Raw genomic sequence first — 22783 nt, 5'->3', positions numbered from 1 at the left:
TTAAAACTAGTGCCTGGGGCTACTGGCTATAAGCAAATGGTGCCAACCAAGTTACAGATTTAAACAAACAACCCAACAACCCTAATCTCTCATGAAACACTTCATAGTTCTGGTCGCTAATTGAGAGCTTTCTCTGGCACAAATTACACAACCTTGGAACTAAAGCCTTTATTCTGAAATTAACTCTGCTCTCCCACCAAGTTCAAATCAGTCTGAATTTAATGCAGTCATTTACTAAGCACTAAATTATAAAACAGGCTTCTCAACAGGAAAAAACAAACTGCGACTCTGAACTTTCTACATTTCTTATACATTTTGGCTGTGGGTTTCTTATTTCTACCCTATTTACCCCCAAACTTGGTGAAAGGCCCCAAAACTTGCCTTCCCCCGCCCCATTCTTCTGCCAGGTAGTGTTACTCTAAGAAACAGGTAGATCCGCTACCGCCCTCTGTAAGTGTCTCTTTCCCCCACCCCTCATTTCCTTCTTTCTTCTATTCTAGCTTAGTATTGCCTTTACAGACTATTATTAGGAATTACTACCTAATTTCAGAGTATATGATCTTACTAAAGAACTAGAGTTTGTACACATGAAAAGGGCAAATTTCTGGTAAATTTTCAGGTAAATTTCAGCATTTAGAAACATAAGATCAAAATTTAAAAAAAAAGAAATATAAGACCAATGAAGAAACACACAGTTACCCAGGATGACCTACAGAAGATAAAAATTGAAGACAGAAAATAGCTGACAGAGGTCCAGATGTTGAGTAATAGCATGCCTGTGATTTGCTTCAAAATAATTGGAGGGAGGAAAGGAGGACAAGGAGGTAGGCATATAGATCAAACAAGATCCAACATGAGTTAATAGTTATTGAAGTGGGGTAACAGGTACCTGGGAGTTCATTATATTCCTCTCTCAATCTCTTTCTCTCTCTCTCTCTCTCTATATATATATGTGTGGGGGTGTGTATATATATATATACACACACACACAAAAACACACACACATACACTACTTGCATTTCAATATACATTGATATACTGATGAATATATTCATATATAAAATATACATTTCAATAGACATTGAAATTTCCACAATAAAAATGGTTTAAAGTATTATCAATAGGAACAGAAAGAAAATATAAGAACATATAGGAGCCTAAAGAAAAACTGAGCTTACTGGGATAACTAATTAGATAATGGATGTGGTTAGGGATGAAGAGAAAATTGAAAAAAGAGACAAACAAGTCAAAGATAACCTCTAGGGAAAAGAGAACTAATCAATAAAGGTGTTAGGGCAATAGGGTAGCCATCAAAAATACACACACACACACATCCTATGCCTTACATTAAATTCCAGAAGGCTTAAAAATATTTAATGTACATAAAGCAGAAAGTACCCAAAGAAACCATGAACAATTATTTTATAAACACAAAGGTCTAAAAATGATATTCAGAAGCTATAAAAGAAAAAAATTACTACATAAAACACTTTAAAATTAGGCATGGCAAAAACTACCTTATGCAGAGTCAAAGGAAAAAACCTAAGAAAAAATTTTAATTAATATAAAAAAGACAATTTCACTAAAACATAAAGAATTCCTAGAAATCAAAAGTCCAACAACCCAACAGAAAAAAATGGCAAAGAACATTAACAGATAATTCACAGAAAAATAAACACAAATAGCTCTTAAACATGAAAAGATTCTCAATCTCACTCATAAGAGAAATGCAAGTTAAAACTACACTAAAATTGGCACAGACCAAAAAATCTGATAACACAGGCCGAGGGGCAGCCTCTGGTGAGAGCCTTTTTGCTGGTGAGGACTTGCAGGGTATCGCATGGCAAGGGAGCTGAGCACTAAGGTGCTAGCTCAGGCCTCTGTTCTTATAAAGCCACCAGTTCTTCCCCCATGATAACCCCTTAACCCACTAACCCATTAACCCGTTAATACATAAATGGATTAATCCACTCATCAGGGCAGAGGTATGGTATCATGGTATCACCTCTTAAAGACCCTACCTCTCAATACTGCCATACTGGGGACTAAATTTCAACATGAGTTTTGGAGAGGACAAATATTCCAACAGATATTCAAACAGACATCCATAACAGATGGCAATCTGACAACATCTATCAAAATTACAAATGCAGGCTGGGTACGGTGGCCCATACCTGTAATCCCAGCACTTTGGGAGGCCAATGTGGGAGGATCACTTGAGCCCAGGAGTTCAAGACCAGCCTGGGCAACATAGGAAGACTCTATATATAGAGAGAGAGTCTCTATGAAAAACTTAGAAATTAGCTGGGTGTGGTGGTGCATGCCTGTAGACCCACCTACTTGGGAGGCTGAGGTGGGAGGATCGATTGAGCCCAGGAGGTTGAGGCTTCAGTGAGCCATGATCAAGCCACTGCACTCCAGCCTGGGCAGCAGGGTAAGATTCTGTCTCAAAAACAAAAACAAAAAAAACCCTAAAATTTAAAAAAATTACAAATGCACATATTCTTTGATTCAGCAATATGATGTAAGTAATAGAGTGTTGCTTATTAGCAAAAAGAACTAGAAATAACTGAAATGTACATCAATAGGGGACTAAATTATGATATATCCTACAGTGAAATGCTATGTGACCATAAAGAATACATAACATGGCAGCTCTTTGATCACTGATATGGAATAATTTCCAAGATCTACTATTAGTTTGTAGGGTTTTTTTTTAAGTACAGTTTATACAGTCAGTGTGTTTAGCATTTGTGGCTTTTCTTGGATTGCAGCGGTGGTGGTATGTAGAGACAAGGTCTCACTCTATCACCCAGGCTGGCGAGTGGTGGCACAATCACAGCCCACTGCAGCCTCAAACTCTCAGGCTCAAGCAACCCTCCTGCTTCAGCCTCCAAAGTAACTAGGACTCCAGGCCAATGCCACCATGCCTGCCTAATTTTTTAAAACTTTTTAATAGGTATTCAAGAAATGCTGAAATAATTTGGTTTCTTAGAATGGAATATATAGGAGAGAATTATAAAGGCATGAGAATGTAGATGGTAAGAGCTATAAATTCAGAAGATGATACTTTGAATCTACAGCAGGCCCTCTGCATCTGAGGATTCTGGATTCAACCAATTACAGATAGAAAATATTCAGAAAAAAAAAATCTCAATAGGCTAGTCCAAATGCAGTTGTGTTCACAACTAGTTGATCAGAACCAGTTAGAGATTTCTTTGTTCCTTCTCCACTCCCAGTTCCTCACTTGACTAGCCTGAAAAAAACAAACCAAAACAAAACAATTTTTAAAAAGTACAAAAAAACTCAATACAGCGTAACAACTATTTACATAGCATTTACCTTGCATTAGATATTATAAGTAATCTAGAGATGATTTAAAGTCTACAGGAAGATGTTGCATGGGTTATATGCATACTATGCCATTTTATATCAGGGACTTGAGCATCTGCAGACTTTTTTTTTTTTTTTTTTTTTTGAGACAGAGTCTCACTCTGTCGCCCAGGCCGGAGTGCAGTGGCGTGATCTCAGCTCACTGCAAGCTCTGACTCCCGAGGTCACACGATTCTCCTGCCTCAGCCTCCTGAGTAGCTGGGACTACAGGTGCCTGCCACCACGCTCGGCTAATTTTTTGTATTTTTAGTGGATGGGGTTTCACCCTGTTAGCCAGGATGGTCTTGATCTCCTGACCTCAGGATCCACCCACCTTGGCCTCCCAAAGTGCTGGGATTACAGGCGTGAGCCACCGCTCCTGGCCAGCAGATTTTTTTATCTGTGGTGGTGGGGGATTAGGGTGGTGGCTGTTCCTGGAGTGAATCACCTGAGGATACTGAGGGATGATGAACTATATTTTAGAAAAGCTTGATTAGAATGGGAGGGCCTTGTTACATAAAAGCTAGTTCTAGGGCAAAGAAAAGGAGGTAATAGGAAAGAAATAATGGAAGTGAAGACATGAAGATTTTGAGTTAGAATTACAGTTATAGCTGCTAATCTTGGTGGGTTTCAAATACAAATTCTGCCTGAAGTTAGCATGTTAAAGTTTAATGCTTTTTAATGACTTGCACCTTCTTAAGGAATTATATAGAGCTTACTATTTGAAAGTGCACTCTTGTTTGCAGAAGAGGAAGTTGATACATGCACAGGAGAGGGAAGCTGCTTTTTCGTGGTATGAACAGTAGCTTTAGGGCAGTGAATGAAGTGGGTGGAAAAGAAGCAGCGTATGCCAAAGAAATTGTGAAGAAAGAATTGATGGATCTAGATGGCCAATAAGAAATGGGGGTGAGAACATGGGAAGTTTGAAATGCAAAGATGTCTCAAAGGTTTTGAAACAGGGTGTCTGGGAAGCGAATACATGGTGTACCCAGCCCAGGAGATCAAGCCTGTGTCCAAATCTTGATTTTGCTACTTATTAACAATGTGAACATGGGTAAATCCCTTTACTTAGGGCCTCAGTTTTATTATCTGAAAAATAAGGAAGATGGCCTAGATCAGTGCTTCTTAAACTTAAAATGTCTATATGAATTACCTAGGGAATCTTGTTGAAGTACAATTCTGATTGACTAGGTCTATGGTGGGACCTGAGATTCTCAGCATTTTCACTACAAGTGATGCAGAGTAGCAAAGGCTTAGATGACCTTCAAGGTCCTTTCTGGTTCTGCAGTATTATACTTCTATTTGTTGAAGGTGGGTTTTTTTGTTTTTTTTTTTAAGACAGAGTCTCACTGTCTCCAGGCTGGAGTGCAGTGGCATGATCTAGGCTCACTGCAACCTCCGCCTCCCGGGTTCAAGCGATTCTCCTGCCTCAGCCTCCCAAGTAGCTGGGACTACAGGCGCACACCACCACGCCCAGTTAATTTTTTGTATATATTTTTTTTAAGTAGAGACAGGGTTTCACCATGTTGGCCAGGATGGTCTCCATCTCCTGACCTTGTGATCTGCCCACCACCGCCTCCCAAAGTGCTGGGATTACAGGCGTGAGCCACCATGCCCGGCCTATTTGTTGAATGTTTATCCTTCAGAGATCTGTTATACTTTTGTGACTTATAATTACCTCTATTTAGAGAGATGAATTCTAAATCTGTGTCTCTTTACTTCAAATAAGAATGGCCTAAATTCATCATCTTTCACTGATAACCACATTCCTCTCTTGACATCTCTATTTTTGTAATACTTTATATTTAAATATATATTATAAAGTACTTTACACTTTTTTAGAGAGCTTCTATATCCATTATTTCATTTGATCATTGCAGTAACCCACAGAAGTAGGCAGGTGGAAATATCTCCATTTTATGGAAGGGGAAACAGGCTCAGAAACAGTAAGTGGCTTGCTCACTAATGAGTGGTAGAACCACCTAGAGTTGAGCTGAAGCTCTAACTTGAGTTCTTCCCACTGTGTCACATTGCTTCGGGAAATTGTCATCTGCATACCTGTGTTTAAAGGTTGGTTGCCATCTCTGTTTTTTTTGAAATATAAACTTAAGCTGATCCAAAGGTAATGAGTTTTCTCAATTTAGTGTTCACAGTCAGTTACAGATCAAATTTGCTCAACTCTTTCCCGCTTCTCACTACTACACTTGACTAGTCTTAAAAAATAAGAAGTAAAAAGTATCCTTAATGTTATTTTTAAAAATACACATGATACACACAAAAATTCATATGATTCACAATTCAAAAGGCACAGTATATAAGAGGATATAGTGAACAGTCTCCGTACTACTGTGTGCCCCAAATACCCATTTCCTTTCCCCTGGGGCAACCAGTGTTATCAGTTATAGTTTATGGCTCTCCAATAATTACATATTCTTTTTTTCCCTATTAAACACAAATGAGGTCGGGCATGGTGGCTCACATAATCCCAGCAATTTAAGAGGCTGAGGAGGGAAGATATCTTGAGGCCAGGAGTTCCAGACCAGGCTGGGCAACATAGTGAGACCCTTTGCTACAAAAAGTATTTTTGGTTTTTTTGTTGGTTTGTTTTTTGTTTTTTTTGAGACAGAGTCTCACTCTGTTGCCCAAGCTGGAATGCAGTGGCACAATCCCGGCTCACCACAACCTCCACCTCCCAGGTTCAAGCAATTCTCCTGCCTCAGCCTCTCAAGTAACCAGGACTACAGGCACGTGCCACCACACCCGGCTAATTTTTTGTATTTTTAGTACAGACAGGGTTTCACCATGTTAGCCAGGACAGTCTCGATCTCCTGACCTCATGATCCACCCGCCTCGGCCTACCAAAGTGCTGGGATTGCAGGTGTGAGCCACTGCGCCCGGCCCCATGCATGGTCTTAAAGTGTTTCCCTATAGACTATTAGTTGCAAGGGCATGCATGTACACACACACAAAGAATTAGAGTTGAAAAATCAGACGACACCTTGACCGGGTGACCAAAATTAACATTACCAATGAGGGACAAATGAACATCCAGAAGTGATACCTTATGAAGGACATATTACCACCCATGCAATATTCCAACTGAAAATGTGTAATCTGAATCTAATCATGAGGAAACATCAGATAAACAGAAAATGAGGAATGTCCTATTTTTTTTTTAAGGGAGCAGGGTCTGTATTATGCTAGTGACATTTAAAAATAAGACAAAGAAAAGCTTTGGAAATGTTCTACATTAGAGACACAACGGCTAAATGTAATACCTACCCTAGACTATATCCTGAACTGGAGGAGGAAAATTTCTATAAAGGACATTATAGAATCAACTGATGAACCTTAGATTAAAGTATCGATGTTAAATTTACTGATGTTGATAACTGTTGGGAACAGGCCCCCCAAAATCTGGCCATTAACTGGCCCCAAAACTGGCCATAAACAAAATCTCTGCAGCACTAGTGACATGTTCGTGATGGCCATGATGCCCATGCTGGAAGGTTGTAGGTTTACTGGAATGAAGGCAAGGAACACCTGGCCCACCCAGGGTGGAAAACCACTTAAAGACGTTCTTAAACCACAAACAATAACATGAGCGATCTGTGCCTTAAGGACATGCTCCTGCTGCAGATAACTAGCCCAATCCATCCCTTTATTTTGGCCCATCCCTTTGTTTCCCGTAAGGAATACTTTTAGTTAATCTATAATCTATAGAAACAATGCTTATCACTGGCTTGCTGTTAATAAATACGTGGGTAAATCTCTGTTCCGAGGCTCCCAGCTCTGAAGGCTGTGAGACCCCTGATTTCCAGCTCCACACCTCTATATTTCTCTATGTGTGTGTCTTTAATTCCTCTAGCGCCGCTGGGTTAGGGTCTCCCTGACCGAGCTGGTCTCGGCAGATAACTATGCTATGGATATGAAATAGAATATCCCTATTCCGGGAAATACATACTCAAGTATTTAAGGGTAAAGGGTCATGATGTATGTAACAACTTTAAATGATTCACATAAAATTATATATCCTTATCTACACATATTCAGAAAGAGAGAAAGAGAGCAAGCTTGCAAATGTAGCAAAATGGGCTATTATTATGCCCATTTTACCTGAGTCTCCCTGAAGCATACAGAGATAAATAACTTCCAGATTGCCTAACTTAGTTTAGGCACATAGGAAATGGCTGGACCAGGATTTGAACACAAAATGTTAACAGACAAATCTAAGTAACAGGTATACAGGTGTTCTGAAAAACAGAAATTTATAAAATAAAAGGTGCCATTTTTCCATAAGCTTGAAATTCTTTCCAAATAAAAATAAAAATAAATAAAATAAAGACTGTTCTCTCTACCTACAGGATAATGTCCAAATTCCAAATTCCAAATCACGGCATACGTGACCCTTTACAATCTAACTCCAAACTATTAGTACAACTTCTCTGTGACACTGGTATGATAAGAAATGTATGTCTTCAGCCCTGGTTTCTAGCACACAGCTCCTAAAACCCTTGGTATAGGGGGACAGAAGCATCTTTTGTTATAATGTAATAATTGGTAGTTTCCAGTTCCTGACACAAGAGTTTCTAAGACCCTTGGAATCTCTGGAGTGATAAGTGTCTTTTGCATGCTAATGAGATAACTGGTGGCTGGGAGTCCCTCAGAGAGCTTCAGGGCAGAAACACTGAGGCATGATTAGAGGGTTAAAACTTTTAGCTCTACCCCCTGACCTCCAGGGAGGGGAGACAGGCTGGAGATTGTGTTAATCACCAACAGCCAATGATATAATCAATCATGGCTACCTAATAGAACCTCCCTGAAACCCTAAACAGAGCTTGGAGAGCTTCTGAAATGGTGGATACATTGAAGTGCTAGGAGGCTGGCACACCCAGAGAGGGCATGGAAGCTCCACGTCCCTTCCCCCATACCTTGCCCTATTTATCTCTTCCATTGGCTGTTCCCAGGTTGTATCCTTTATCCTAAACCTATAATAATACATAAAATGTTTTCTTGAGTTCTGTGAGCCATTCTAACAAATTACTGAACACAAGGAGAAGGTCATGGTAACCTTCAGTTTATAGCTGATAGCTGAGAAGTACAGGAGGCCTGCGACCGGGACTTGGGACTGACGTCTGTGGGAGCAGCCTTGTGGGACTGGGCCCTTAACTTGTAGGTCATAACTCCGGGTAAATAGCATCAGAATTGAACTGAACACAAGGATACCCAGCTGGTGTAAAAGAATTGGTTGATGTTGGGGGGAAAACCCAACATATTTGTTGTCAGAAGTGTTGTAAGTGGAACAGCACAGACTGTCCTAGGTACAGACAGTCCCTGACTTAGGACGGTTTGACTTAATGATGTTTTTACTTTATGATGGTGTGAAAGTAATATGCATTCAGTAGAAATCGTACATGGAGTGCCCATACAGCCATCCTGTTTTTCACCTTCAGGTCAGCATTCAATAAATTACATGAGTAAATTACATGAGATATTCAATGCTTTTTTAAAAATCAGCTTTGTGTCAGACGATTTTGCCCAACTATAGGCTAATGGAAAGTGTCTGAGAACACAGGCTAGGCTAAGCTACGGTGTTCGAGAGGTTAGGTGTATTAAATGCACTTTTGACTTAGCGATATTTTCAATTTACAGTGGGTTCATCAGGACATAACCCCATCATAAATCAAAAGGCATTTGTACTCTCCAGCTCCTTGTTTCCACCGTCCTCCTCTAAGCTCCTTAAACTCTGGCCTCAATTATCTGCCATTCCTTTTTACACCTTCTTACCATTTTGCTCAAGCTGGTCCCTCTGCTAGCATGCATTTCCCATCTTTCCCATCTCAGTACTTTTTTCGAATCATCTCTTATATTACACTAAAATGGCCTAGTGACATATTTGTCTTACCCACTAGTTTTGTTTTTTTTTTTTGTTTGTTTGTTTTTTGAGAAGGAGTTTCACTCTTTTTGCCCAGACTGTAGTGCAATGGTGCGATCTTGGCTAACTGCAATCTCCGCCTCCCGGGTTCAAGTGATTCTCCTGCCTCGGCCTCCCAAGTAGCTGGGATTACAGGCGCCTGCCACCACACCCGGCTAATTTTTTGTATTTTTAGTAGAGACTGGGTTTCACCATGTTGACCAGGATGGTCTCACTCTCTTGACCTCGTGATCTGCCCGCCTCAGCCTCCCAAAGTGCTGGGATTACAGGTGTGAGCCACCGTTCCCGGCCACCCACTAGATTATGAGTCCCTCCAGGGCAAGGACACGCTTATCCTGTATCTTCAGTGCCTGACAAATGGGAATAGCAATGACAGTAGCAACAGCTAACATTTTTTGAACACTTACTATAAACCAAGCACCTTTTTAGGGAAATTTATGACACACTTAATCCTCTCAACAACCCTACAAGGTAGGCTATTATTATGCCCATTTTACCTGAGTCTCCCTGAGGCACACAGAGATTAAATAACTTCTAGGTTGCCTAACTTAGTTTAGGCACGTAGAAAATAGCTGGACCAGGATTTGAACACAAGCAGTCAGGCTCTAGTGTCCATATTCTTAACCACTGTGGGATACATGGTAGAAACTCAAAAATTAACTGTTGAATTAATAATGTTGTAGAACAGAGCTGAACACAGTATTTGTAGAATGAAAGTATTCGAGACAAAAGCATTTGGCAATTGAGGAAATGGAGGCACACAGAGGTTAAAAATGTGCACAGAGCTACAGATAACCTAGTCTTCTCACTGTAAAGCTTAAGAACCTGAGGACTAGAACAAAGCACTTTTTCCAAAGTTACCTTAGTTATACCCAGGACCAGCCTTATAACAAGTCTTCTTATGACACCATATTAAAGAATACTTACGGCCGGGCGCAGTGGCTCACACCTGTAATCCCAACACTTTGGGAGGCGGAGGCGGGTGGATCACAAGGTCAGGAGATGGACACCATCCTGGCTAACATGGTAAAACCCAGTCTCTACTAAAAATACAAAAAAAGTTAGCCGGGCATGGTGGCATGCGCCTGTAGTCCCAGCTACTCGGCAGGCTGAGGCAGGAGAATCGCTTGAACCCGAGAGGCAGAGGTTGCAGTGAGCCAAGATCACGCCACTGCACTCCAGCCTGGCCGAAAGCGAGACTGTCTCAAAAAAAAAAGAATACTTACTTGCTGTAAGAAGCCTCAAAACCATATTCAAAGATATTCTGGCATTCCAAGAATAACAGAAGTTGGAGAAAGAAGTACACTAGAGTATAATGCAGTATCTGATACCCAGAAGGAATTTAATACCAATTAATTGGCCAGGCACAGTGGCTCACATCTGTAATCCCAGCACTTTGGGAAGACGAGGCAGGCAGATCACTTGAGGTTAGGAGCTGGAGACCAACCTGGCAAACATGTCAAAACCCCATCTCTAATAAAAATACAAAACTTAGCCAGGCATGGTGGCACGCACCTGTAGTCCCAGCTACGTGGGAGGCCGAGGCACGAGAATTGCTTAAACCCAGCAGGTGGAGGCTGCAGTGAGCCGAGATTGTGCCACTGCACTCCAGACTGGGCAACAGAGTGAGACTTCGTCTCAAAAAAGTAAAAAGAAAAAGAAGACAAATATTTCATGGCATGAAAATTAATAATTTCAGTATCCTTAAACTTTTACTGGAATACAACCACACTCAGTTGTTTACATATAGTATAGGGCTGTTTCTGCACTACAGCAACCAGTTGAGTACTTGCTACTAAGACCCTAGAAGGCCCGCTGAGACAGAAACATGTTCACTATCTGGTCCTTCACAGAAAAGCTTGCTAACCACCTTGTCTCTCATGCACCAGAAGGTTAGGTCCATGAAGGCAGTGTCTCTGTCTTGCTTGCTGTTTTACTTCCAGCACCTAAACAGTCTCTGGCATTTACAAGCATTCACATTTGTGCAACTTTAAGTAAGTGAGGAATTACTCAAATGAACTTTAAGAAGCCAAACAAAATGGGTCATAGTTAAGAAAGTCTTTCAATTACACTGATCTTTACAGGATACCTTAATGAAGAGAAGAATGTCACTGAGACAAGTGGTATTGCTTTCATTTGCTAAAATGTTAATGTCTGGGTATACATGAGAAGCAGCTTTCTAATTTTTTAGTAGTTTTTGGGTAGTTGTATAATATTAAAAAATGCACTAATTTGCAGTTAAGAAATTCTGCAATTTAGCTGGGTACAGTCGCACACATCTATAGTCCCAGCTACTCCAGAGGCTAAGGCAGAAGGATCCATTTGAACCCAGGAGTTCGAGGTTGTAGTGCATTACCTGTGAATAGCCGCTATGCTTCAGCCTGACGTTGGGCAATATAATGAGACCCAGTGTCTCAAAAAAAGAAACCAAAAAGAAATTCTGCAACTCTACAGTGTCCTCATCTAATAACCAGACTGGCTGGGCATAGTGGCTCACACCTGTAACCCCAACACTTTGGGAGGCCAAGGTGGGCGGATTGCTTGAGCTCAGGAGTTTGAGACCAGCCTGGGCAACATGGCAAAACCCTATCTCTACCAAAAAAAACTACAAAAATTAGTCAGACATGGTGGCGCGCACCATGCGCACCTGTAGTCCCAGCAGCAAAACCCTGTCTCTACAAAAAAAAAAAAATATATATATATATATATATATATATGTGTGTATATATATATATATATATATGTGTGTGTATATATATATATATACACACACACATATATATACACATATATATATATACACACACATGTATATGTGTATATATTTATATATTTATTTATATTCATATAAATTAGCCAGGCATGGTGGTGCGTGCCTGTAGTCTCAGCTACTCAGGAGGCTAAGGCAGGAGGATCACCTAAGCCCAGGGAGGTCAAGATTGCAGGTGAACCATGATTGCGCCACTGCATTCCAACCTGGGCAACCTTGTCTCCGAAAATTAATTAATCATTATCATCATCATCAGACTGGTGTCTTTTTTTTTTTTTTTTTTAGAGATGGGGGTCTCACTATATTGCCTAGGCTGGAATCAAACTCCTGGCCTCAAGCAATCCTCCCACCTCAGCCTCCCAGGTAGGCTAGGATTACAGGTGCATAGCACGGCACCCAATTTATACTGACGTTTTTGATAGAAGTGTATGACTATCACCAGTCAACCAATCACTCCAGAGCACCTGGGCAGCTACTCTTTATTTTTATATTTATATTAAACACACTCCATGTAGAATAAACTCCAATAAGTCAATTCATGAAAACAAGTCTGAAATATCTACTATACATATATAATTCTATAATGGTACCAATTCTATCCTGTAATGAGTATAGTCCTGTAAATTATCCTAGACCTGTAATGAGCACCCCACAGCCTACCTGCCAACCTTGCTTCATAATCTATTTTCAGAATAAAAAACCAGAAAGCTTTCTTCATGTTGCTACTTCTCATGTATACTTAGATATTAACATCTTAGTGGATGAAAGCAATACTGATTTTCTTGAGGACAGTCTTATTTTCATTAAAAGGAGACAACGTTAAAAAAAAAAAGGTTTTTCAAAATCCTAAGCAAGATTATTTTTATTTTGTATTGTTTAAAAGTTTAGTTTTCTGGATTAGCTCTCATACAAAAGAATGATTGGAATTAAGGAAGGAAATAGTTCATATCCCCTGAAAGATGTAAGTAGGCTGGCAGACACAAGACATACAGTTCCGAATCCTGTGCCTAACAATTCAAACAAGGCACTTTAAAAGTATCTATTGAATAAATGGCTCTCAGTTTTTCCTATCCTGCACTCAGAATTAGTTTTTTGTTTGTTTGTTTGTTTGTTTTTGAGACGGAGTTTTGCTCTTGTCGCCCAGGCTGGAGTGCAGTGGCGTGATCTCGGCTCACTGCAACCTCCGCCTCCTGGGTTCAAGCAATTCTCCCGCCTCAGCCTCCTGAGTAGCTGGGATTACAGGTGCCCGCCACCACGCCCAGCTAATTTTTTGTATTTTTAGTAGAGATGGGGTTTCGCCATGTTGGGCAGGCTAGTCTCGAACTCCTAACCTCAGGTGATCCACCTGCCTCAGCCTCCCAGTGCTGGGATTACAGGTATGAGCCACCGCGCCCCGCCCAGAATTAGTTTTAACATACGCTAATATGAACACACGAATTACTTGTATTCACTGTTAAACCCTTAATCACAAAAGCTACACTCATGTTAAAGAGTATAAAATTTTTCCTGGAGAAAAAAAAAAAACAGATCATAAGCCTGATTCTCATGTTTACTTTTATGATCTATTAAGTCTGATTCTCACTTTTACTTTTATGTCTTCCCTTTTTTCTTTCCCAGGAGTCTACTGACAAAAGCCAAAGGTTGCTGCTAGTTTCAGCTTCCTGGTGTTCCTCATTATTTTCAAAAATGTCTGACTGCATCTTTTGGACATTATAAAAACCACAGTAGGAAAAAACGCCAGCTATTTCAATGGACCAACAAAGTGAGACTCCAAAGTGGTAAGTTCTGATGCTCAACTTCAGCATTATCAGTCTCAGCCTCTCAATCAATAAGCACACTATACTGGAGTTTTCACAAAGAATGGATAAGTAAAATGCCTAATAACATTACTACCACATAGGGTCTACAGCAATCAACACCAAATATTACACAGAATAAAACCATCAAAAAACCAGATGGTTACTCTTTCAGAAACTTAAAGAGGCAGAGAACAGAAGTTCTTAAGTAGAACATTTAAAAAAAAAAAAAAAAAAAGATAGGCATGGTAAGTACCCAGGGACAAAACAGGAAGACTGATCATTTAAGCTCCAGAGGGACATTCCAAAGTTTCACTCTAATTCACACCATAAAAGGGACGTGGGAGGGTGGACTCTGAGTGCTCTGCCCTTAAAGAGAACGTTAAAATACAGCCTCTCCTCCATTTCAGTTCTAGCCTAAAATCCCCAAAGCTGTGAGGCTAATGTTGCCAAAGGACCGAGTGAAGTTTAAGAAACAAGTTCTCGGCCAGGCTCACGCCTGTAATCCCAGCACTTTAGGAGGCAGAGGCGGGTGGATCACGAGGTCAGGAGTTTGAGACCAGCCTGGCCAACATGGTAAAACCCCGTCTCTACTAAAGATACAAAAAATTAGGTGGGTGTGGTGGTGGGCACCTGTAATATCAGCTACTCTGGAGGCTGAGGCAGGAGAATCACTTGAACCCAGGAGACAGAGGTTGCAGTGAGCCAAGATCGTGCCACTGCACTCCAGCCTAGCGACAGAGCAAGACTCCGTCTTAAAAGAAAAAAAAAGGAAAGAAAACGAAACAAGTTCTTGGCCAGGCACAGTGGCTCACGCCTGTAATCCCAGCACTTTGGGAGGCCAAGGTGGGTGGATCACCTAAGGTCAGGAGTTCGAGACCAGCCTGGCCAACGTGATGAAACCCCATCTCTACTAAAATTACAAAAATTAGCCGAGCGTGCTGGCAGGCGCCTGTAATCCCAACTACTAAGGAGGCTGAGACAGGAGAATCGCTTGAACCCAGGAGGTGGAGGTTGCAGTGAGCCGAGATCACACCACTGTACTCCAGCCTGGGTGACAAGAGCAAAACTCCATCTCAAAAAAAAAAAAGAAACAACTTCTCAACACACCCAGCCAAGAACAGTGGAACTGTTCACAAGACCCAGGTTCTGTTTATTTCTCTGCCACAAGCAGGAACAAGACACAAGACAGATCTGTTAAACTAATACTCTTTACTAAATACTCCAGGGCAAGAATAAATAGCTAGAACAAGTCTGTGGCCAGGCAAATAGCTTCACCTCAGAGGGCTTCAGGTTTTGCATCTGCAAAATTCCATGATTCAAAATTCATGTTTCCATCTTAAAATAAGATGGAAAACAAGGTTATGTGATACTAAATCAAGAAGGTATACTATGAATTGTAAAATTCCAATGTCAAGTTTCCATTCTGTGTGTACTCGTCTACTTTTATAATCTAAGGAGGCAACTGCTAAAATACTGTACAAGGCATTGAAAAAATTTAACAATATAAGACTTTACTGGCCAGGCACAGTGGCTCATGCCTGCAATCCCAGCACTTTGGGAGGTCGAGGCAGGTGGATCACCTGAGGTCAGGAGTTCGAGATCAGTCTGGCCAATGTGGTGAAACCCGTCTCTACTAAAAATACAAAAATTAGCCAGGTGGGGTGGTGGGCACCCCAGCTACTCGGGAGGCTACTCGGGAGGCTGAGGCAGGAGAATTACTTGAACCTGGGAGGCAGAGGTTGCAGTGAGCTGAGATCGTGCCATTGCACTCCATTCTGGGCGACAACAGGGTAACGCTGTCTCAAAAAAAAAAAAAAGACATTACTTATGTCATTAAACCTAAAACAAAGCATAAACCTAAAATGTTTCAACCTCTCTCATAAGACAGATGTCTTTTTCTAAAACACCTTCAGTTTGTAGCTGTACACATTCCAGTACGTTGAAAATGACAAACTTGGCCGGGCGCGCTGGCTCACGCCTGTAATCCCAGCACATTGGGAGGCCGAGGCAGGCGTATCATGAAGTCAGGAGATCGAGACCATCCTGGCTAACACGGTGAAACCCCATCTCTACTAAAAATACAAAAAATTAGCCGGGCGTGGTGGCAGGCGCCTGTAGTCCCAGCTACTAGGGAGGCTGAGGCAGGAGAATGGCGTGAACCCGGGAGGCGGAGCTTGCAGTGAGCCGAGATCGTGCCACTGCACTCCAGCCTGGGCGACAGAGTGAGACTCCGCCTCAAAAAAAAAAAAAAAAAAAAAATGACAAACTTCTTTTTCTCCCCAGCAGTAACATGTCTGACAGGTAAAAATACACAGCTTATCAAAAATACACATTTGGAAACTATGAAAATCTAATTTTTTTTCATTCTACCATACGTTTCACTTCAGGCCCAACTTATTAGTTTCAATTCTGCTTGTGCTCTATTTCTAGTCAGTTTCACTTCTGAATTTTCTACCACAAAGAATTGTGATCCTGTAGAGACATTTTAAAGTAAACACTAAATAAACATAGCTTTTCCTTTCAAAAAAAAAAAAACTCATTTTCACAGGAAAAAGAGAAACAAACAAAAAACATAAATTCCTAATAGCATTTTGTCACATAAAAATAATGATTTCAAGATGCTGATATCTTAAGTTTCTGAGGCTTCCTCATATCATTTTATTTATAAGAGCCAAACCAGCACAAAAAATTGCCATCATTTTACTTTTTAGATACTCAACTATATATTACATTTTTTCTTCGAGTTACAAGGGGCTTAGTAAATATTTGCAGAAGGAATGAATGTACACGGCATGGTAGTGCATTGCGTGAGGCACATGTTCCTGATAAGATGAACGGCCTTGCCAATAAAGCTGATTTTTTTTTTAGTAATAGAAAAATGATTAAATTAGATTAGCAAAAGTAGGGTATCCAAATAAACATAAACACAGAAAGGGAAAATATTTATCCTATACAGCAAAATCAAGCTTTAGATCTACTTTTCTGCTTCTATCATGTTTTTTTGCATGGGTTTCAATACCACTGAATCCAATCTTTCCTTGTTCTCTTTAGGCTGTAAAGTTCTTCAAGGGAAAGACTCATAAACAAAAAAACTGTACATGAGTTCCTACTAAATCATCAGCACAGTGTTAGGCACAAGTGCTGTAGGAAATAAAATATAAAGCCTGATGGTCCCAAACTCTGAGGTACTTAAAACTTTTCACCAGAACCCTGCAAAGAATGGGTGTCTAGGGCAAACAGGAAACACCTAGATTGTAGTCCCTTTGTTGACACTCTGTGTGACTTTAAGTTACCGGCCCAGTGCAGTCGCTCATGCCTGTAATACCAATGCTTTGGGAGGCCAAGGCGGGAGGATTGCTCGAAGCCAGGAGGTAGAGACCAGCCTGGGCAATATAGCAAGACTCTGTCTCTACAAAAATTAAAATTAAAAAATGAACCAGGCATGGTGGTGTGCACCTGTGGTCCCAGCTACTTGGGAGGCTGAGGCACATAATTTGAGTCCAGGAGTTAGAGGCTGAAATGAGCCATGATTTAATCTCCCATACAGAAAAATTCCAAATAATTTATGTAGATACTCTACCCTCAAGAAGGGGGAGCACAGATCTCACTCAAGTGTGGACTACACATAGTGACTTCCTTCCAAAGACTACAGTATAGAGGGAAGGGGAGGAAGAGTAACCTTATAGCAGAGAAACCTGACAAACACTACCTGTGGCCCTTCAATTTACAATAATAAATATATACTTTGGTCTTTGTACACAGTTCCTGGTGCAGAGCTCTTAAAACCTCTGTCATTCCCTGGGTGCCATAGGGGTACTAGGAGAATCTTTACTTTTCATATTTGGTCTTTGACCCCAGTTCCAGACACAACGCCTAGTCCCTCAGCGTTTCCTAGGTGAGGAACATCCTTTGTTCTAATGAGACAACTCTTGGTGAGCTCCTAGAAGGAGAATGGTCACCAGAAAGACCAGGCCATGATCAGAAGCTTGGAACTTTCAGCCCCACTCCCCATCCTCCAGGAAGGGGAGAGGGGCTGAAGACTGACTTAATAATTGATCATGCCTACATGATGAAGCCTCCATACAAATCACAGAACTACAGGTTTTGGAGAGTTTCTGGGTTGCTGAACATGTGGAGGGTGGAGCTGCCATGAGAGGGCATGAAAGCTCTGGGCCACTTCCCCCATACTGTTCCCTATGATATCTTCCATCTGGCTGCTCGTCTGTATCCTGTGTAATATTGTTTATTTAAAAAAAAAAAAAAAACAGTAAGTGCAAGCAAGGTGCTTTCTTGAGTTCCGTGAGCTGCTCTAGTAAATGACTGAGCCTGAGGAGGGGAACATAGGAACCCCCAATTTATAGCCAGTCGGTAAGAAGTTCCAGAGACCCAGACTTACGTCTGGCATGTGAAGTAGGGGACAGTTTTATGGGTCTGAGCCTTTAACTTGTGGAATATGATACTAACTCTAAGGAGATTGTGGCAGAATTGAATTGAATCATAGGACACCATATTGGTGTTCACTGGAGGATCGCTTGGTGTGTGGGGAAAAAGCCCCACACATCTAATGTCAGAAGGGTTATGCTGATAGTATAACAGTGTAATAGGAGAAAACAGCTAGTTTGCCTTTCCTATCATATGCTACCACAGCTGGTGATGATAAAAGTTAGAATCAACAGTGATAAATCAGCCAGGCATGGTGGCTCATGCCTGTAATACCAGCACTTTGGGAGGCCAAGGTGGGTGGATCACCTGAGGTCAGGAGTTCAAGACCAGCCTGGCCAACATGGTGAAACCCCGTCCTACTGAAAATAGAAGAATTAGCTGGGCATGGTGGCGGGTGCCTGTAATCCCAGCTACTCAGGAGGTTGAGGCAGAAGAATTGCTTGAACCTGAGAGGTAGAGGTTGCAGTGAGCTGACATTGTGCCATTGCACTCCAGCCTGGGCAACAAGAGCGAAACTCTGTCTCAAAAAAAAAAAAAAAAAAAACAGTGATAAATCATGTTAATAATATGTACGTAATATATGAAAATGGCACTTTACCTCTTAAGTCTTGCTCCCAAAACACCACCACCCTAGTCTAATCATAAGAAAAAACATCAGACTAATTCCAGAAGAGTGGCATCCTACAAAACACCTGACCAATACTCAAAACTGTCAAGGCCATCAAAAACAAGGAAAGTCTGAGGAACTGCCACAGCTAAGAGGAGGCAAGAGACAGGACAACTAAATACAATGTGGTATCCAGACAGGATCCTGGCACGGAAGAAGGACATCAGGTAAAAACTAAGGGTTGGCTGGGTGTGGTGGCTCATGCTGTAATCTCAACACTGCTTTGGTTGGCCAAGGCAGGAGGATCTCTTGAGCCCAAGAGTTTGAGACCAGAGTGAGACTCATTTCTACGAAAAATTTTCAAATTAGCTGGGCGTGGAGGCACATGCCATTGTAGTCTCAGCTACTTGCGGGGGTGCTGAGGTGGGAGGATCACTTGACCCCAGGAAGTCAAGGCTGCAGTGAGCCATGATCATGCCACTGCACTTTAGCCTGGGCAACAGAGTGAGACCCCGTCTCAAAACAAATTAGCAAACAAACAAAGGACCCATCAAGAGATGAATGAATAAACAAAATGTAGTATATACATACAACGGAATACCATCTGCCTTAAAAAAGGAATGAAATTCTAACATACCCTGCAACATGGATGAACCTTGAAAACATTGCAAAGTGAAATAAGCCAAACATAAAAGGACAAATACTGTATAATGCCACTTATATGAGGTACCCAGAATAGTGAAGTTCATAGAGACAGAAAGTAGAACAGAATTTACCAGGGGCTGGTAGGAGGCGAGAATGGGGAGTTGTTTTCTGTTTGGGATGATGTAAACATTCTGGAAATATACAGTGATGATGGTTGTATAACATTAAGTATGTTTTTAATGCCACTATATTGTATACTTAAAAATTATTTAAACAGCAAATTTTATGTTGTACATATAGTTAATCACATTTAATCACAGTCTTCCAGGCTGGAGTGCAGTGGTGCAATCAGGGCTCACTGCAGCCTTGACATCAATCCTCCTGCCTCAAGCAATCCTCCTGCCTCACCCTCCCAAAGTGCTGGGGTTACAGGCATGACTCACCAGGCCTGGCCACAGTTGTTCAGAACTAAGAAAATCTAAATGAACTATGGACTTTTTTAGTCAATAATATATAAATATTGATTCATTAATTCTAACAAATGTACCATATGTCAAGGCAGATGTTAAGAATAAGTGAGGCCGGGTGCGGTGGCTCATGCCTGTAATCCCAGCACTTTGGGAGGCCAAGGCAGGTGGATCACCTGAGCTCAGGAGTTCAAGACCAGCCTGGCCAACATGGCAAAACCTCATCTCTACCAAAAATACAAAAATTAGCCAGGAACAGTGGTGCATGCCTGTAATCCCAGCTACTCAGGAGGCTGAGGCAGGAGAATCGCTTGAACCTGAAAGGCGGAGGTTGCGGTGAGCGGAGATCGCACCACTCCACTCCAGCTTGGGTGACAGAGTGAGACTCCGTCTCAAAAAAAAAAAAAAAGAATAAGTGAAACTAGGTATAGAGTATATGGGAACTTTCTGTACTATCTTCTCAATTTTTCTATAAGTATAAAATTTTCTGGCTGGGCGTAGTGGCTTATGCCTATAATCCCAACACTTTGGGAGGTCAAGGCGGGAGGATATCTTGAGGCCAGGAGTTTGAGACTAGCCTGGGCAACACAGCAAGACCCCATCTCTATGAAAAACTTAAAAAAATTAACTGGTATGGTGGCACATGCCTGTAGTCCTAGATACTAGGGAGGCTGAGGCAAGATAATCACTTGATCCCAGGAGGTTGAGGCCTCAGTGAGCCAACTGCACTCCAGGCTGGGCAACAGAGCAAGATCTTGTCTCTAAAAAAAATAAAAATAAAAGAACGAAATAATTTTTTTTAGACAGTTTCGCTCTTGTCGCCCAGGTTGGAGTACAATGGCGCCATCTCAGCTCACTGCAACCTCTGCCTCCCAGGTTCAAGCAATTCTCCTGCCTCAGCCTCCAAATAGCTGGGATTACAGGCACCTGCCACCACACCTGGCTAATTTTTCTATTTTTAGTAGAGACAGGGTTTCACCATGTTGGCCAGGCTGATCTCAAACTCCTGACCTCAAGTGATCAGCCTGCCTCGGCCTCCCAAAGTGCTGGTATTAGAGGCATGAGCCACCGTGCTCGGCCAAAAATAGAAATAAAACTTTCTAAAAAATAGTTTGTTTTTGGGCCGGGCACGGTGGTTCACACCTGTAGTCCCAGCACTTTGGGAGGCCAAGGCAGGCGGATCACCTGAGGCCAGGAGTTCAAGACCAGCCTGCCAACATGGTGAAACCCCATCTCTACCAAAAATACAAAAATTAGCTGGGCATGGTGGCACAGCCTGTGATCCCAGCTATGCGGAAGGCTGAGGTGGGAGGATTGCTTGAACCCGGGAGGGGCAGGTTGCAGTGAGAGGAGATTGCACCACTGCATTCCAGCCTGGGTGACCAGAGTAAAACTGTCTCAAAAATCAAAAACAAAACAAAAAAAAAGTGTAAAAAAAATGTGTCACTAGTTCTTGCTCAAATTACAGTAAAGTAAGATCACATAGAAGCAAAAGGAGACAAAATTAAGTAGTAGTCCCATCTGACACAGTCAAGGGGCTGATATGGACTATAGTTAGTACTCATACATGGAAAAGTTCAGGTGTTTGCAGTGTTAACTTTTTAAACATTACAGCCACTTCTAGAATCAACAGGACTTAATGAAGATTGAAATAAATGAGTCAATAATAACAAGGATACTCTCTATCCTAAAATGAAAATACACCTTAGTAAGGTGGTTCTCAACTAGGGGTAATTTTGCCCCCTAAGAAACATTTGGCCATGTCTGAACTCATTTTTGATTGTCAGGACTGGGGAGGTGCTGCTGATATCTTGGGATGTGGCTAAACATGTAACAGCCCATCTTCACTCCAAAATGTCAACAGTCCCAAGGTTGACAAACCCCATCTTAGAAGAAGGTTGGGAGCCACTGAATCTATGTTTTGAGATAACTTGATCATAAAAATCCTAAACCAACCGGGCTTGTTTATTTGTTTAGAAATATTGATACCAGCCGGGCGCAATGGCTCACACTTGTAATTCTAGCACTTTGGGAGGCCGAGGTGGGAGGATCACAAGGACAGGGGTTCCAGACCAGCCTGGCCAACACAATGAAACCCCGTCTCTACTAAAAATACAAAAATTAGCTGGGCGTGGTGGCAGGTGCTTGTAATCCCAGCTATTTGGGAGGGTGAGGCAGGAGAATCGCTTGAACCCAGGAGGCAGAGGTTGCAATAAGCCAAGATCGCGCCACTGCACTCCAGCCTGGGCAACAGAGCTAGACTCCATCTCAAAAAAAAAAAAAAATTGATACCTTGCCAACTAGTACGGGATGTATTAAAATGTATGGTTTTGAAAGTATTATTTAAAGGAAAGTTAACAACTGACATTCCAATTTATCTAAATATTTGAAATTTTGTAAAAGCAAAAAAAGGCAACAAAGTAATACTTAAAAAAAAAACATTAGACATACACAGATACTCCATGACTCTCACAAACAATACTGAGTAAAAGAAACCAGACACAAAAAAATACATTTTGCACAACTCCATTTATATAAAGCTCAAGAACAGGCAAAAACTGATCTTTTACATTAGAAATCAGAAAAGTGGTTCCTTTAGAGAAAAAGGAAAAACAGAGATGGAAGAGAACATAGGAGGACTTCCAGGATGTTAATAATTTTGGGGTTTTTGGGGGGTTTTTTGTTTGTTTGTTTGTTTGTTTGTTTTTAGATAGAGTCTCACTCTGTCACCCAGGCTGGAGTGCA

General features: G+C 41.3%; 1 protein-coding gene across 9 annotated transcripts in view, besides 1 other annotated feature; it reads right to left on the bottom strand.

Annotated features, from left to right (window-relative positions):
* The window catches only part of UVRAG (UV radiation resistance associated), a 329023-nt gene that overhangs the window by 303428 nt on the left and 2812 nt on the right, over positions 1-22783 (bottom strand). The window lies entirely within an intron of this gene.
* Positions 16310-16389: an enhancer, noted in NCBI's record as "active region_5280". NCBI's record gives its function as "activates an Ori minimal core promoter by ATAC-STARR-seq in GM12878 lymphoblastoid cells {active_cell/tissue: GM12878}" and the evidence as "EXISTENCE:reporter gene assay evidence [ECO:0000049][PMID:35858748]".

The sequence above is a fragment of the Homo sapiens genome, chromosome 11 (genome assembly GCF_000001405.40).
Source record: "Homo sapiens chromosome 11, GRCh38.p14 Primary Assembly".
In the NCBI taxonomy this organism is placed as follows: Eukaryota; Metazoa; Chordata; class Mammalia; order Primates; family Hominidae; genus Homo; species Homo sapiens.
Note: the sequence above shows the minus strand (reverse complement) of the source record. Positions and strands in the feature narration are given on the sequence as shown.